This window comes from Homo sapiens, chromosome 2, assembly GCF_000001405.40.
Source record: "Homo sapiens chromosome 2, GRCh38.p14 Primary Assembly".
Lineage (NCBI taxonomy): Eukaryota > Metazoa > Chordata > Mammalia > Primates > Hominidae > Homo > Homo sapiens.
In genome coordinates, this window is record NC_000002.12 from 67960223 (window position 1) to 67979232 (window position 19010).

Here is a 19010-nt window from a genome sequence, read left to right on the forward strand (position 1 = left end):
CCAGCCCTGTTTTCCATGTTCTCCTTGATCAAGCACCCTCATAATTCAGTCCCATGAGTACTGTCCCAGCTGTTGGTACATCCTGGCTAGATCCTGCAGCTCCACTAGGGCTTAATCCCTTTACTTTCTCCTCAGTCCCAGCATGTCTTTAGCTTGATTACATTGTGACAAACTGAGGAGATGGTGTAGGGAATGTCCCGGAGAGGGGTATTGTTATGGGTGGGAGGGCCCTGTGCACTATCTTCAAACCAGAGAGAAGTATTGGTCCTTAATAAGGTAAAGTGGGCCACTCCTCTGGTCTCAGAAGTTTTAGAGGAACCTGGGGATTCAAGATTTTGGGGTGCATCAACCTAGATGTCTCCATCCTATGTGGCAAGATTCTTTCCCAACTTTGGCCTAGCCAACCTACCTTGGTTGGGAGTTAAACCTTCTTTGGAATGCAGTCATTTTTACAGTGAAACTGGGCTTCATCCTCAGTTTTCCATATCGCCTAGGGTAAACAATTTATCTCAATTTGCCTGGGGCTTTCCTGGTTTTGAAACAGAAAGTCTCACATCTTGGGAACCCCTCAGTCCTGAGAAAACTAGGATAGTTGGTCACCCTAGTGCTGCTTCCCTTTACTGCCACCCCCACAAGATGAGAGCTTGTTTATAAGCTACAGAGAATGTCTTCTAGATTTTACACTTAAGTTTTAGTTGATAATTAAACACTCACTTCTTGCCATCTTTTTCTAGAACATTAAGTTTAGCAGTAGCCACCCAGTTCCACCTCTTTGGAGTTAATTTTTCCTGGAATTTCTCTGTGCCTGATTGATCACCGGGATGCAATTCTAATTCACTGTCAGTGAAAATTTTAACGATAGCACTGCTATGTTGTGATTTGTGTCAGGAGTTATCTATGCTCCACCTTCTATCAGTGATAGGCTCTTTACTGGCAACTGGGCAGCAAATGATCCAGCTCTAAAATCCCATCCCAGCCTCTGCTTTCTTGACCACTTGTGGCACTAACTGTTGTAAGTTGAGTTCCCTTGGAGGTGGATCCTGAGATAGAGAATAGCATGAAGGTGAATTGTTAAGACATAATCGTCAATCGACACCTTTGGAAAGGAAGGGAGGAAAACAGGATTTGGCAGAGAAAAAAGTTGTGCTGCACCATAGTCTCAAAGGAGGCCTCAGCTGACTCCAGAGTGAGTTCTGCAACTAGGATGTCCCTTAAGAGTTGTCCCGAGCTGGGGGGGAGTGCTATATCTATTTTGTAGAGTAAACAATTGAACCTTGCCCAAAGAGAAGTTTGGCTTTAGACCACAGCTCCTGGGAAGTTATTCCTAAGCCCTTGGAGTATCCTGCCTGATAAAAGTGTCCTTGTTCATCTAAGGGCCTTGGGCCTCAGAAGATGGTCTAACAATGTGATTTATTGTGGGTGCTCTGAATCATGAGGTACCAGCTCAACCTCCAGACAGACTGGCAACTAAGGTCAGCCACGTGGGCAGTCAATCATGTCTATGTGATGGAGCCCCACATAAAGACTCTGGATACCAAAACACAGGTGAGCTTACCTTCATGTGTTTTCTCACACATTGTTTCTAGGAAAATTTTGTCCACTGTTTCACTGGAAAAGGATAACTATAAGTTCTATGCATGGAACTTTCCTCTCTCCTGTGAGACTGTGTCCTTAGATTATTGTAATCTGTATATTTTTGCTATAATAAACTGAATCAGCAACCTAACAGCTTTTAGTGACTCCTTCTAGTGAATTATTAAACCTGAAGGTGGTCTTGGGGACCCCTCAACCCCAAAATTGGTGTCAGAAGTGAGGACAGTCTTGTGGAATTTTGCATATTCCTACTCTGATCAGTTATTGAATGTAATGCGTGTCACTCCTGGAAGGACAATAACTTTGTGAGGGATTTTCTTCTGACAAGGGGACAGGCAGCTAGTTTTCTGCTAGTAACACTCCCACAATTGGGGAATAAAGTGTTTTATTTCTGAAAAAAAAAAAAAAAAAAGCCTACTGGAAGTCTATCACAGACTGTACCACAGTGGGACTGGATTTAATCAATAGAAGTCAAGGACTAAATTAATATTTCTGTGAAAAAAAGAAAATTCACATGGCTACTAAAGGGGGAGGGTATCTCATGGAATGTGGAGAAAGTTGTATTATTCTTTCATTTTTTGATAATAAAAAATGGCATGATTGTTTCATGGAAAGAAATCTCTGTCATTTGTGTCCACCTATGATTTTCTATGACTATTCTCAGTGGCTTACTGTGTTCGTCCATTTTATGTTGCTATAAAGGAATACCAGAGACTGCCCAATTTTTAAAGAAAAAAGATTTATTTGGCTCACAATTCTACAGACTGTGCAGGAAGCATGGTGCCAGCATCTGCTTCTGGCAAAGCCTCAGGAAGCTTCTGATCATTGTAGAAGGCAAAGGGGGAACAAGCACATCACATGGTGAGAGAGCATGAAAGAGAGGAAGTAGGCCCCAGACTCTTTTTAACAATCAGATCTCATGGTAGCTCATTACTATGGGAGGACATCCGGCCATTCATGAGAGATCCACCCCCATGACCCAGGCACCTTCCACCAGACCCTGCCTCCAACACTGGGGATCACATTTCAACATAAGATTTGGAGGGGACAAACATCCAAACCACATCACTTACCCAGTAGTAGATTAGTTATTCAAGACTAATTTCTAATATTTATGGCCAAAAACATTATTATAATCAGCATCCATTACCCCTTGCTGGAACTCCTCTCAGCAAGTATCCACATACTGACTTTAATAATTTTCCTAAAATATGAGACCTATACATAAAAGTCATAAGCTAAAACCACAGCACTTTGCCTATGAGGTTAACAGTCCCCGTTGTGATTTACATCATGCTGGGCAGGACCAAAGGAATAATCTGAAGCCATAAATAGGTATCAAGATTGCATTAACCTCATCAGAACACAATTCTAACAGTAAATGCCAATCAGCTGTAGTAATAATGACCATCCAATACACATCCAATTCCAAGCCAATTTTGTTAAGGCCTTCTACTATGGGTCTGTGGTCACTGATCAAGGTATATAGCAGCTCTTAAGGCTCTAGTGGAAATTTCAAAAGGTCATCAAGTTTGCATTGGCCTCCTTATGACTACCTCTGCTCCACTCCAAAGCTATAATGACTTTCTTCTATCTAGAAAGCCTCGTGTTTTTTTTTTTAAATAAATATCTCCAAAGGAAGCATTTCCATGACTTCCCTTAGTAATCACTTCCCATTGTGTAGTCCTTAAATTTGAGTGAAAAAAAATTTGAAGACATTCCCCTCTGCTATACTGCCAATGGAAATAGATACGGGTTATTCTGCTCTGGTCTGAATTTTAAGTATTCAGTAAAATGATATTTCTTCTTCTCTTCCTCTTACACCTTAAGATACTTGGCAAGCAGTCACATTAATATTCTACTATCCCCAGCAAAGTAAATAGCAGCTACTTTCACTAATGGCCTTCTAAATCAAATGACACATCATGGCTGCACAAAAGAGCCGGATTTCAACTCAGGAAACACAGAGGGATAAATCCATACCAAAATCCAAATTCTTTTCCAGCAAAGGCTCTGGCAAAGAAGGATCTTCCTCCAGAAAACAAAAAAAAAAATCATTCATAAGTCCTGAACAGACTGAGCAGTAAGTCTGCAATTGAAGCACAGCCTCCTTTTCTAAAACTGAGTGTAGGATAGAGCTATTTTCACTTCCTAATTAAGCAGGTAACTTCTCTTCCATCTTTCTTTATCATGACAGATGAATGTTTAAATATAAGATTTGATATTGTGTGCTTATCTTAAGCTGTACTATTTTATAGCATTAAAAGGTATTATAGCCATCACTAAAATTACTGTCCATGCAAAATAGATTATGATAATGCAAACCAAATTTGAATTTTGGAAGATAAAAGCAGAACAAGAATTCTCAAGTACCTTTCAATACTCAAATATAAGCTATAGTATCATCTACCTCTTGATCTACAAACACAAATACCTATAGTAAGCAGGCAGTAAGTAGAACCAGTAATGCAACTGAGAGAGTACTGGAGCCTCTAGCACCAGAGAACAGAAGCCCACTGAAGGAGGTAGCTGCTACTAAGAAAAATGGGACTGTTTTCTTACCAGGGGAAGGTCCAGTGTTTCCATATCGTCTGATTTTCCCAGAAAAGCTGGAAATTCACGTTTTATATAAAATTGAAAAATTGTTAAAACTCAAAATTTTGGGGGCCAAACAAAACCTTTCTGAATGGTGGATTTAGCACTTTCACCACTAATGTGTAAGCTTTCAATTAGAAATAGATGAGATTCTGCTTATTTAGTAGAAGGTAGATTAGTCAACAAACAAGATCCCTTTCAATTCTACAAAATACTGCTACATAACAAATCACCCCAAGTTCAGTGGCACAAAGCAATAAGGATTTTATTATGCTTAGGATTCTGTGGTCAGAAATTAGCATAGGACACAAGGATAGTCTGCCTATGTTTCATAAAGCTGAGGCTTCAGGTGGAAAGAGTCAAATGTCTGGGGGTAATTAAATGCTGAAGGCTGAAATCATCTGAAGCTTTTACAATTGCACGTCTGTTGCCTAAATTGGGGTGCCTCAAAGTTTGTGTTGAGCTAGACCTGTCAATGGTAGCTACAAGGCTTACACATGTGACCTGTCCATGTGGCTTGGGCTTCCATGCAGCAAGGCGGCATCTGGACAGTCAGGCTTCCTACCTGGTTGTTCAAGGTTCCAAGAGCAAATGTTCTAGCAAACAAGGCGGAGCACATGGTCTTTGTAACCCAGTTTCAAACATCACACAGCATCACTGCTGTCAAACTCCATTGTCACAAGCCCACCCAGATTTAAAGGGAGGGAATATAGACCAAACCTCTCAATGTGAAGAGTCAAAAAATTTGTAGCCATTTCTTTTAAAACCACCACAGGTTTAAAAAAAAAAAAAAAGCTCATGTTTAGGTGCCAGAAAAATGTGGGTTCACTGTAGCCCGAGGCCCTCACCAGATGCCCAAACTTGATCATTTCAGCCAGCAGAATTGTGAGCCAAATAAACCTTTTTTTCTTTATAAATTCCCCAACCTATATGTATTCCCATATAGCAATACAAAATGTACTAAGACAGAAAGTAACCTGCAAACAAATCATGACCCAACCAGAGTATAGTAAGCAATTTTCATACCAATCTTGTGATGGTACTGGCTTCAACTTGCTCAAAATAGACCAGCCTCATGACCATGCTAGCTTTGACTTGTTCAAGATATTGAGCAACGAAACACCCGCTGAAAATGGCTGCTTGCTCTGGAGTCTGTAAAAAATAAAAATAGAATAAAATAAAGAGTCTGTAGATTTTAGAAGGAAAGGGAGAGAGGCAGCAAGAAATCCTGGGTTGGGGAGTAAGGAGGAAAAATGTTACAGTACTTGTCTGCCTGAAGTTGAAGGAGCCTCTTAGTATCTGCACGTGTTATAAATAATATAATCGCCTCTGTGCAACTGGACAGTACTAATGGAGCCAGTGAAGCCTGCTGTATATAATATTTATTTGAAAGAGAAAATGATTTCATTTTCATTTTATTTCTGGTACAGCAAAGCATTCGAGTAGCACACGATGAGCCTTTCAATTACATGTTTAATTCATTCCGATGATTTGTGCACAGCAAGGAGATCTTAATCCTGGGGATTCTTAGTGAGAGTGCTGTTAGGTTAATATAGTTCTCAAAGGATTGGATTCTACTTAACAACACCTCACAGATTGAGCCATGGAGGAATAAAGCCCACCAAATGTCCAGCAGGCGATAATAAAACTTTCCTCTGCCATGTGAGTTCCTCAGAAATGGCTCCACGCACTTCCCAAGCCAGGCAGCTCCCATGCTGAACATATACTCAGGACCCTGTATCTCTCACATTTGTAATTAAATAATCATTTATGTAATTATTTTTAAATGTCTAGGTCCCACCACTAGAATGTAAACTCCACATGGTCAGAGAGCATGTTTTATTTCTCTCCAGTGCCCAAATAATGCCTAACTCATGGTAAGTGTTCAATACAATTTGGTGAATAGTCCTTAGTACAACACTGCTTATTCTGGCAAAGTAAAAGTATATACATATACACTTAACATATATATGAAATAATATATATATACACTTATTTTTTTAACGTATGATGTAGAGTACATATATATCTACATGTATACTTAATATAGATATGATGTAATATTATGGAGCAATTACTATTTGTGATAGAAATGCAGAGTTATTGACATGAAAAGAAATCCATAGATTTGCTTTCCAAATCAGGTTATAAAACCATATGTATGGCAGAGTATACAATGTCATAGTTAGGAGTATCAGATGAATGTGAGCAAGATAATTAATCTCCGTAAGCATCATTCCTCATCTGTAAAAAAGGGACTAATAGCAATCCCAGGTATAAAGTACTGTTGAAATGATTGGATTAAAAATTGATTATATAAAGTAATGTATAAATAAAATAAAATCTCAACACTGTGCCTGAGCTATACTAAGTGCATAATAAATATTAGCTATATTGAAAATGATTATTCCATTTTACAGGGAAGATAACATTTCTGTGTGTATACAAAAAATTCAAACTATTCACATCAAATTGTTATCATGCATATGATGGTGAGACTTTTAGATTTTTTTTAATTTTCTTTTTATCTGTTTCTGTATTTTCTGGATAATAATTTTAATTTGAGGGAAATAATAACTTGTTTTTCTTCTGTAACTCTAGCTAACTGACTGCTTAGTATAAAGCAGAATATTTTAAAGATGGCTTTTCTGGAAAATAATCTTGGATTTATTTGAGATAAGAAGGTCAAATGAAGGTTTAAGATAGCTGATTGAAGAAAAGTGTTCACCTGGTCTCATTCCCTAAGTTCCATTGAAATGGTAGAGAAAATGCACAAACAAAAATGAATTTTAACAGAAATGAAAAACCAAGAGAATTGCCACTAGGATATCAGAACTTTGGGAATTTCCTAGAAAAAGCAGATGGAAACAGACCTAAAGATTCACATGGAAATAAGGACAAATGAGAAGCCCTCCAATAAAGGACTCTTAAAAAAAAAAAAAAAAAAAAAAAGCCCATGATCAGAGGCAGTAGGAATGAAAGAAGAACTAGGAGATGGGCCTAGACACTGATTTTAAAAGAGTAAAATAACTCTGTCCATGTTCTGATAAAGCACCTAATGCTGTCTTTTGACCTCAGCTACTGCTCTGCTGTGTGAGAATTTTCACGCAGCAGACTCTCAGAGTAGACACTGGGGCTTGAACAAAGTAATTTCCCCAATAATTTTGTGCTGCCTCAGGGGAAGAAACGAAACTTCCACCGAAGACAAACTACTGGTCATCCTAAAGGAAAGCACAGCCTACCAGGGCCCATAACAGCTCTGCACTCCAGAACCACCCCAACACCGCCCATCTGAACTATATCCATTGCCAAGAGAAAAAGAAATTTTCATGTGCACTAGGAAAACATTTCTGAGCTGTTGGTTCTGTTCATTTACAGACATTTATCTGAAAATATGAACTGTCATGAAGTATTTTCAAACATTCAACAGAAATCAATAGCCAATAGAATGAAGGAACAGAGGGATGGAAGAATGGAGAGACAAAAGAGGAAAGAAAGAAAACAATAGTTTCAGCATGTCTGGAAGAAGCTCTGAACTCCAGAGATTAAGGGAAAATCCTAAACATCAATAGGGAGGAAAAAAGTAGGCTACATTCGTAAGAATAAGGTTTCTCAGGAACTGGGAGCTAGAGCACAATGGAACAATGTCTTCAATGTTCTTGTGAAATATGATGAATCAAAAATTCCAGACTCTACTAGCATTTAAGTATTTGGACAAAATAAAGACATTTTCATATCTCTGCATACTCAATGTTTAAAACGCAGGCCAGGATTCCTTTCCTTTTCCAAGAAAATGGCTTACAATTTGTATGAGCATATATTAAAATGGAAATTGAATTTAAGAAAGAGAAGGGATTTTTTTAAAATAATGGGTAAAAATAAACCATAAATGTATAGTAATGCTAAATAAATCTAAATAACCTGACTGTTAACGTTAAACAACTTTCTAGAGAGAAATAGAGAGTCACACACCAGGTCTTAAATGCTTGACTTGGAGGTGGCACACATCAGTTCTGCTTAGAGCCCACCATTCAGAACTAGTTCACAGACCCATCTAACTGCAAGGGGCCGGGAAATGTAGGAAAGGACAGGAATACTGTATTAGATGAGTATTAAATGTCCTCACCATAGTTCATAATAATTTTATCTTCTCAATGGAACATGCCTTTCAACAGCATGTTATATCCTCCTTTGACCATATAATGGTTTTTATGTTGGAATCAATTTTCTTAGAAATTAAGATTGGCCCATCTACCTTTCATGGTTATACATTGCCTGGAATAATTTTATCCATCCTTTTATTTTCAATCTTTCTATGTTGTTTCATTTTGTGTGTTCCTTGAAAACATCAAGTAACTGGAACTTGTTCTCTAAGTGTCTGTACCTTTTAATAGTTTATTTTAATCTAACCACCTTCATTTTGATAACTGATATTTTGTAACTGATTATTGTTCTCATTCCTATCTTATTTTTTCATTTTTCATTTTCTTTTTTTAAAATCTTTGCATGTTTCTTTTTTCTTCTCTTATTTTTACTGATTAAAGAAATTTTCTGTTTCCTTTTTTGTGCTAGTGGTTTGGAAATCACATGTTCTATTTCCACTTTTCTCAAGATTGAATTTATGCTAAATACATGTGCTTAAAATATTTTAATTAAATGTTGAAAAACATTTGTATTAATAAGCTCTTCTTGAAACAAGACAAAATGCTTATCATGCTTCAATTCCAGTTTTCCTTTGCTCCCTCCTGTGTTTATTGAAAACATTTGAAATTCTTTTTCCTGCATTTATTATTATTTTAAAGTCAGGCCTTTATTTACTAATAAACCATTCTTGAAATTGTCAACTAGGGTTTATTCTAGGAGTACAACAAAGGTTCAAATTTAGACCTTTTGTTACTGCAACTCACTATATTAGTAAACAAAATGTGTTAACTTGATTAAAAAGACATAGCAAATGTCATACTTGAGGGTGGAACAGTAGAAGCATTTGATTAAAATTCATACCAGAGAAGGATGATACACAGCATTATTCTTGAGGTTCTAATCAATGCAATTTGATAAGGAAAGTGAATAAATTCTTAGTATTGGAGAAAAAGAGACAAAACTGCCATTACTTTCAAATGATATGCTTATCTATTTTCTTTAAAAATCAAAGAAAGTAAGTCAAAAAACACAAAGAACCAATAAGAAGGTTCAGTAAGGTAGCCAATTACAATAAGATCAACAGATAGAAACTCAATAATTTTCTACATCAGAAAAACAACTTAATAGAAATTGAAATGCAATTTTAAAATCCCCAGAGCAATAAAAGCTATAAAATACTTAGAAATAACCAAATAAAGACATGCATAAACTTATGAAGAAAATGATTTTACTGAAAACAAATTTCCAAATAAATGAGACTAAATTTTGTAAAATGTCAATTCTCTCATAATTAATTTATAAAAGCAGCGAAATGCCAGTCAGAATTTCAATAGGCTTTTTTTATGAGACTTGAAAAGCTGAATGTAAAATTCAACTAGGAGGGCAAATACATTAAAAAAAAAAACAGTGAAAAATGACAGGAATTCTGCAGTGTGATATTGGCATCAGACTAAATCATGGAATAGAATAGACAGTTTCGGAAACCAAATATAAATTTAATACATGATAAAGAAAGAAGTAACTAGACAATGCCTAATGTTGGGACAAACAGCTATCCATTTGGAGAAAAGATATAAAATTAGAGTCTTACCTTGTACTATATGTAAGAATGAATCCTGTTTGGATTAAAGATCAACATATTAAAAAGTTATCAAAGAAAGTTTAAGATAAGAATTTTATGATGTTGAAGAATGCTTTCCTCAGCAAAATACAAAAAAAAAAGGTATCAATAATAAAAGGAAAGGCTACTGATTTGATGACTCACAAATTTAAAACATCTCTAAGGCAAACACCACCATAAACAAACTTGAAAGAAAAGCAACAAACCAAAAAGAAATAGTTGCATCATAATAAAGTTACTACCCATTCTTACCATAAAAATTGGTAAGAACAATTTCTTTTAAAGGGAAAGGAGGCTGGGCTTCCTTTCCTTTTTAAAGAAAATGGAAGACTGAGGTTGGAGGATTGCTTAAGCCCAAGAGTTTGAGATCACCCTGGGCAACATGGCTAAACCCCGTCTCGCAGGGCACAGTGGAGCACACCTGTAATTCTGCTACTTGGGAGGCTGAAGTGGGAGGATCCCTTGAGCCTGGGAGGTCAAGGCTGCAGTGAGCCATGATCAAGCCACTGCACTACAGCCTGGGTGACAGAGAGAGACCCTGTCCCCAAAATAAATAAATAAATAAATAAATAAATAAATAAAGGAAAGGAGATATGATTAGGCAATTAAGAAGAAACAAAAATGGCAAATTAACATGAGAAAGAATATGCAACCTAACTAGGAATCAGAGAAATGAATATTAAAGCAATATAACGATATCACTCCTTTAACTCTCAGATCAGCAACATTTTAAAAGATTGATATTATTTATTTATGGAAAGAATATGGCAAGATGAATAACACACATTCTGGTGGAATTTAACTCAGCACAGGCTTTTTGGTGGCCAGCTTGACATTATCTGGTCAAATGTGTGGACATTGGTCTATTCTACTTCTGAGAATGGATCCTGTGAAATACACACATGGCCCAAGCCAAGCCACATGCACTAGCATATTTATTGATCTTTTTTTATTGGGATGTAGCCTAATGTCCATCAATAGAAAAATGGTTACAGCAGTTGTCCTGCAATGCAATCACTAAGACAATTGAGGTAGAGCCATACGTACCCAGATGGAAAGAGTTCTAAGACACATTTTTAGGAGAAAAAAACAAATCAAGGATAAATAGCTGGAACTCATTCATCTTCTTAAAGCTACATATATGTACGTTTTGTATCTACATATAAATGCACAGAAAAAGGTCTGACTAACACAAATCAAATGGTTAGAAATGGTTACCTACAGGAGGTGCTTCAACTTATTATTCAATACAGTATATAACTGTACAGTATAAATTTTTACAGGAAGCAAGTATTCACATATTACTTCTATAATTTTTTTCTAAGTTAAGATCGAATATCTTCAGACTTCCCTGTTTCAATGCTAGCTTTGAGAAGGAGCCACTCTAAGGAGTCCTCTCCTTAGAGCTCACATTCATGCAGGGAAGGCTGCTAAAGGCACATGGCATTGTGAACAGAGCTGAAAACTTGACTCCAAACTTTATCTTGCTTTCCTGTTTTCTTTTCCCATTGATTGTTTGTATCTGACTATTTTGCACATGTATCTGTAAGTGCCCTTCAATCCTTATGGAAAATATCAGTAACTTCCATGAACAGTAAAGGGTCCCAGCCTGGAGCCCTGGGATCTGGTACACACGGGCGCTCTCAGTAGCTGTGAAATCTGGAATAAGTCCCAGCTTCTGCATGCCTCGTTTTCTTCATCTGTGAAATGCAGTGGCTGGCCCAGTGCTCTCAAAGTCCCTTTCCTGTTCTTAGCCTTTAGGTTTTGTGTGCTCTGCTGGGCTCCTTCTTCTCTCCACATCCTAAAGGCACTGCAGCAGGAAAGTGTGACTGCTCAGCCCCTTCCATCAGCTCAGATCACTGAGATTCGACTGTCTCCCCATGTGGGCCAGGGGCTGGTGAGGAATTAAGAATTCACACAGAAAATCACTTTGATTTCCCCCGCAGCACTATTCATTTGGGAGACACATCTCTGATAGTTTATGCCCAAAGCCTCTTTATGAGAGTCTAGAATGGTTCTAGCGCCAGCAGTCACAGTGACCCACCAACTCAAGCCAGGTGTCCCCTCTTGGGAGCAAACTGTCTCTGGTTGGTTTGCCTTTGTCAATAAAATAACTCCTGTCATACCACCAGCTGCATTTGGTTCCATTTTGCTTTCATATTTACATGTTTTCCCACAAGATTTACTTCATATAAATGATCACACACACACACACACACACACATACACAAGGATATGTACAACATTAAAACTAATGGTACAACAAACAGCCATAAAGACCCACTCTTGTCCCTCCCTCCTCCTCCACCGCCCTCAACCCTGCAATGTTACTGTTCTGCTTACCCAACTATGTTAACTACTATCCAAACTTTTTTGTCATTAATTTTCTTGTTTTCCTTTATACTTTTACCAAATATGTAGAATTAATTGTCTTTTAAAGGAAGAAACTTTTTAGAAACAAGGTTCTTACGAGAATTAAATGAGGCAATGCTTAAAGTGCTTAGCACAATGCCTGACATGTTAAGTACTCAAAAATGTCATCTATTATCTCACTCTTTTATTTATTATTATTATTATTATTAAGAGGGAGTCTCACTCTGTCGCCCAGGCTAGAGTGCAGTTGTGCAGTCTTGGCTTACTGCAACCTCTGCCTCCCAGGTTCAAGTGATTCTCCTGCCTCAGCCTCCCAAGTAGCTGGGATTACATGCATGCTTCACGCCCGGCTAATTTTGTATTTTGAGTAGAGACGGGGTTTCACCATGTTGGCCAGGCTGGTCTCAAACTCCTGACCTCAGATGATCCACCCCACCTTGGCCTCCCAAAGTGCTGGGATTACAGGCATGAGCCACCATGCCTGGCCTATCATCGCTCTTTTAAACTTCTGTTAAGATAATGGAAAAGATCTTTTGTTCATTTAGTAATCCGTCTCATTCATTTTTTAATTACCTACTGTGGGTCATCTCTGCCATGCTAGATGTTATAAAGCTATATGATTTGAATTTTTAAAATATTTTTAATTTTTATTTTTAAATACTTACAGACTCACAAGAAGTAGTAAAAATAATCCAGAGAGGTTCTGTGTACCTATCACCCATCTTCTCCCAATGGTGCCACTTTATACGTCTGTAGTACATTATCAAAACCAGAAATCAACATTGGCATCATACAATTAACTAGACAATTAGACCTTACTCGGATTTCATTGTGCAGGGACTCCTTTTTGGGGGGTGAGGGCATGTAATCCTGTGACATTTTCACCCATGGGTAAACTTGTGTTACCACCACCACAATCAAAATGTAGAACCCTTCTGTCATCACAAAGGAATTCCCTTGCGCTACTCTATTTTTCGTTTTTTGAAATGGGTCTCTCTTGATCGCCCACGTTAGTTTCAAACTCCTGGGCTCAAACAGTCCTCCTGCCTCAGCCTCTCAAGTAGCTTGAACGACAGGTGCACACCACAGGCTCAGCTTGCTACCCTTTTTAGAGTCGCATTCTGGCTCCCTTACCTAATCCCTGGCAACCACTGATCTGGTCCCCATTTCTATCTTTTTGTCATTTTGAGACGTTATATACACAGAATCATACAATATATAACTTTTTGAGATAAGCTAAGCAGTTTTTACACTCATGAAAAATAGCCTTACATACTGAACCTAGATTTCTTGACTGGGAAGAATTTCTTTCTTTTTTTCCCCCATTAATCTATATGTTTTATTTTTGTGGGTACATAATAGCCTTTAGGTTAATAGGTATATTATGGAGTACATGAGATGTTTTGATACAGGCATGCAATGCATCATAATCATATCATGGAGAATGGGGTATCCATCCCTTCAAGCATTTAACCTTTGTGTTACAAATCATCCAATTATACACTTTTAGTTAGTTTTAAATGTACAATTAAGTTATTATTGACTATAGTCAGTCACCCTGTTGTGCTATCAAATACTAGGTCCTATTTCATTCTTTGTTTTGTTTTGTTTTTTCTTTTTACCCATTAACCATCCTCCCCAACCCTCCATCACCCACAACCCTTCCCAGACTCTGGTAACCATCCTTAGGAAGAATTTCTTGACTGGATTTATACTGGGGAGAATTAATTTCATCTTCAGATCATGTAGAGTATTTCATTTCTAAGGAAATCTGAGGCTCTAATGATACCCTGAAAACAAAGGATTTAACCACTAGAATTCGCCAGATCATTGGAAGGTGTCCATGAGGTTCACTGTGTAGATGAAGGGAGGAGGAGCAGGTGATAGCCCTCATAGCCAGGACTAGACCTTCCTCATGGCCAGGACTAGGCTCAGAGGTGGACTCCAAAATGAACGCAAGAATATGTACTTGCTATCCATGCCGGACATTAATGAGCTTGGAAGAGGTTTGTCTATACATGTGAGAAATGAGTTTCAAGTACTTTTATCAATTCCTCCCCCGACAACTGATCAAAAAAGAAATTGTTTGCAAATTGCACAGCAGGCCAGGAAAACAGTCTGAAAACCCTTTCAATCAGATATTTTGGAAGGAGCTTGTCTAAAAACAACCCTTGCCAAGTTTCCAGGCTGCTCCTTTGTAAGCTCATTTTTGAAGATTTGTCACAAAGCAGGAACTGGAAGGAGAAACATGTTTTATTTTGTTATACAATGAAGTTCTTTGTCCAACAAATAGATGTGATAATATCACTGTGTTGGATACATTCTACCATTCTCCTAAGTGGTTGGGGCTGCTTTTTAAATTTTTGCACCTTCAGTCTGGTTGAGAGCACTGAAAGAATGGTGCTAAAAGCCTCTTTTCAGACACATCAGGGGCATTCTTTTGTTTGAATTTACTTCCCCTTTCCCACCCAGTCCCTGGCACCAAACACAGCCTTACAAATCAGCTCCGACTGGCAGGAGGAATGAAGTCAGCAGGAGCTGGTGCCAAGTTCCTCTTGGGCTCCATTCACCCAAGCCTCGCTAACCTTTTCTCCACATAGAAGGGGCATCTCCACTGCTCTCAGAAACACAACTTTGTACACACGCCAAATTGCTTTTGGGGGCAGTTACAGCAGAGATCCTCCCACTTTCATTTTACCTAGACTGTGTCACATGGAGCCAAGCACTTTGCAATTTACCACCTTTTCCCTCGATTTAATATTAGAAGCTCTATCTGATTCTGAGGCTGTTTTCTGGAAGGGCACTCCAAATGAGGAAACGTCTCTGTAAACTAAGGACAACGAAAAGGACTTTATCTGACCAACAATTTACTGTCTCCTGCTGGATTAGAGCGCTCACTCACATGAGCACTGCAGTTTTATAAAACACACAGAAGCATATGACCATGTAAAGACATGATCCTTCATGGTATTTCCCGGCTGCCGGTGAATACATTTTTAGGCACCACGACTTTGAATTCACTCAGCTGCATGATTTAGAGCCACTGGTCCCAAGCAGGATAATTTTCCCACCACCCCCCAGCCTGCCCCTTAGGGACATTTGTCAATATCTGGAGATGGTTTTGATTGAATCAACCAAATGGGATTGCTGCTGGCATCTAGTGGGTAGACGCCAGGGTTACCGCTACACATTCAGCAATGCACAGCACAGCCCCCATAACCAAACAAAGAATTATCTGGCCCCCCCAAATGTCCAAGTGCTGAGGTTGAGAAACCTTGATTAAAGGAAAGCATAGGGCTTTTGATGTCAGATAATTCAGGATTTGAATCTGATCCACAGCCTAGGCTATCCAAGCTTCAATTCTTCTTCTTTAAACTTAAAATGATCCTATCCTACCTGCCTTACTGAATCACTGGGAGGATCGAATGAGAGTAGAACCTGTAAAGAATGTAGTACTTAGCAAACACCGCGTGCTAAAAAAAAAAAAAGTTTTTTCTTTCCTCTTTACTCCCTGCTTTATACTGTTAATACCTCCTTTGAGACTACAGAGTCTCAGCAGCCGTTTTTCTCTTCCTTATCGCTGGAAATCAGCATTGTAGCAAATATCCACTCTGCTTTCTTGCAAACACTGATTCTCTGGTCTAGTGGGGCTGGCTACCACACAGCCTTGACTCTCCCATCACAGGTGTGACGACAAGGCCCAGAGTATCCCAAGCCCTAACCACAAAGATGGTTTCAGAGGAGAGACCACAACCCAAGCCTGACCAATCATGGCCACCCCAAGGACTATAGCTGGAGCCCTCAGGAAATAGACACTCTTTTTTTTAATCTGGAATTAATCAGAAAATGTGAAAACAAAGTAAGTTCGTAGCTGACAGTAGCTATCTTTGCCACTGGAAAGAACTGAATCAAGGCAGAATCAAAGTGCAGAAATGAGACATGGTAGAGTCAGGGGTGGGAGGGGAGATGGGGTTCCCATGATAGCTTTCCATGACCTTTTAGCTTACATTAGTTTGAGTTAGGTTTCTGTGACTTGAAACTCAAGGATTTATGACTAATAGAGCTTGTAGATGGGGTTAGAACGCACAGGATGTCAGTATAGTAACCAGCCTACAGATATCTACTGAGTGCCATGCAAGGTCCTGATAAGGACAAAAGATATCATTCCTGTCCTCAAGATGTTTCTAATCTTGGTGAGTAAACAAATACCTAGCAAAAAGATACCGTTACAAGGTTGTGGAAATGCCAAGAGAATCACAGGCCATATTGCTGATAAATTGGGTGTGGAGAGGTGAGAGAGACATTTTTCTCTATTGGAAAAAAAAGGGGACACTTTGTAGAGGAAGTGACTTAGCTGGCACCTCTCCCTAGCTGCCCAAGCCAAGAAGCTTCCCTTTCACTACCCCAGGAACATAAGCTGAGAACCGAAGAGGACTCTTACTCCTCCAAGGGGCTCCGCTCTTGCTGGACTGTGACCACCCCAGACCTGGTAAGCCAGGACCTCTGTTCATTGGCCCAGTGGCTACTCTCCTCCTGGGCATTGTCCACTACACTCCTATTGATCTACCCCCAAAGTACACAGACCCTCCATGACCTCTCCTCTGCATTCCTACCATCCACACCATGTGTAGTGTTTCCTTGCCCCAGACCCAAACCCCTACTCCTAACTTCCCTTCCAAATCCTTCCACTGTTCCCTCTAGACCTCTTACTCCAATATCAGCAAATACCTGCACCTCTCCTATCCTCCAAATGTTCTTTCCTTCCTTTTCTATACTGAGAATCAGCTGTCTGTTGAACACAAATTTCCTCTGAAACTCTGTTGCATTCTTCTCAAACCTCACAGTCAGGAGGTAATGTTATTCCCAGTGCTGCTTCCAGGCAGTTACTGCTCTGGCCTCTGGCCAAGATCCCTGATCCTTTGAGGATCCAGGCTTCTGGTCCTGCCACCTCTTCTCCTCTTCATTGCTGTCATCTACAGATCTCCTGACTCACAGCATTTTTCTTCACCCAATTCTTGCTATCTTTCCCAGTGACTTCAACCCCTGTGTGAAATTCTTATCCACCACCATGTGTGTCCATCCCCTGGCATGGTCACCACACTGCCCAGCTCCAGGAACATAAAGAACATTGTCATTGATGTGAATGGTGCCCACTGTAATTTTGCATTGCACACCCCACACACGCTTATGCAGTGTCCCAGGGCCTTGATCTCATCTCCAGCCACCTGCTCCTCCCACCAACTGAGCCACTGCCTCCTTAACCACACCCTTATCTCTGCATCACTCTAACATTATTAATTCAAACATCCCAGTCCCTTCAAGTTACTAGCTCGAGTACCCTCACAAGAAGTCTTTCCCTACAGAAAATTAGGAAATCCATGATCCTTTCACCTTCTATCAGTCCTTCCTGCTTTCACATCTTTCTTAACTCATCCTGGAGTTTAGAGTCTACCATTATCAATTATTCCCTGGAAAAGATTCATAGTCAATTGCTGCCTTCATTCTATTCCACTTGCCTGATAAAACCCCAGTCCTGAAAGATCCAAATCACTGCTATCCCCAACTATCTGTATCCTGGAAGCAGTATTTCCAGTGAATATCACAAAACAGGACATACAGTATTCGCCTAAATCATGACACTTTCCTCTCTATCATCACACATGTCTCCTAAATCTTCCTTCTTAGTGCCTCCTGGGTGCACGGTCTTCTCTCTAACTTAATGTCTCCAACGAGGTCTGCACAGCATCATCAGCCACACAGACAACTGAAATAGCACAGAGTAAGTTCTAAAACACTAATATCATGTCATTCCTTTGTCACTGCCTAAACATCTTCAACAAGGTACCCTTGTTATTAAGATAAAATCAGAAATTCTAATGGTGTACACTTGTTATTAGGATAAAATCAGAAATTCTTATCACAGAATTGCATCACCTGCCCTGCTTACATATCTACTCAGATTCCATGCTCCCCTTTCTGTGAATAGCCCTGTACAGTAGCCACCTTGACTTTCCTCAAAGTTGTCTTGCTCCTTTTGACCCCCAGAGCCTTCTGACAAGCTGCCCCTTCTGTCTACAAGGCCCCTCCCCAACCTTGCTTAGCTTATTCCAGCTCATCCTAAGCTCTCAGCATCAACACCTTGAACTCAGAGATACCTTCTCTAACCTTCCTTCCCCTACACAGCATGCACAAGGTCAAGTTACATTGACCAATGATCTCTTGATATACCATACTTGCCCTTTAAAAACATTTATCACAAATTATCACTTATCACAACACTTACCACTTGTGTTACTAATTGTTTGAAGTCTACTTTCTAGACTAGAAAGTAAGCTCCATGAGGGACAGTAACTGAGTATTTTGTTCACTGCTGTATCCCCAATGCCTTGTACAGAATAGGTGATCCATAAAGACTTGATGAAGATGAGTAATTCACTGAGTGAATGATAATATGAGCTTGGCCTTGAAAGATAAGCAGGATTCAGGTGAACAAAAAGGATGAGATTTTCATTAGCAATGTGCAGGGTGTGAAAGTGGATAATGAGCCAACCAATTCTTATTGAATGCTATTGAATGTGCAAGCTTCTTGCTAATGACTAGAAATTTCTATGCGCATAACAGACAATAATGAGCTTGGAAGACATATGTTTCAGAAACACCCAACTCCTATTTGTAGAAACATCTA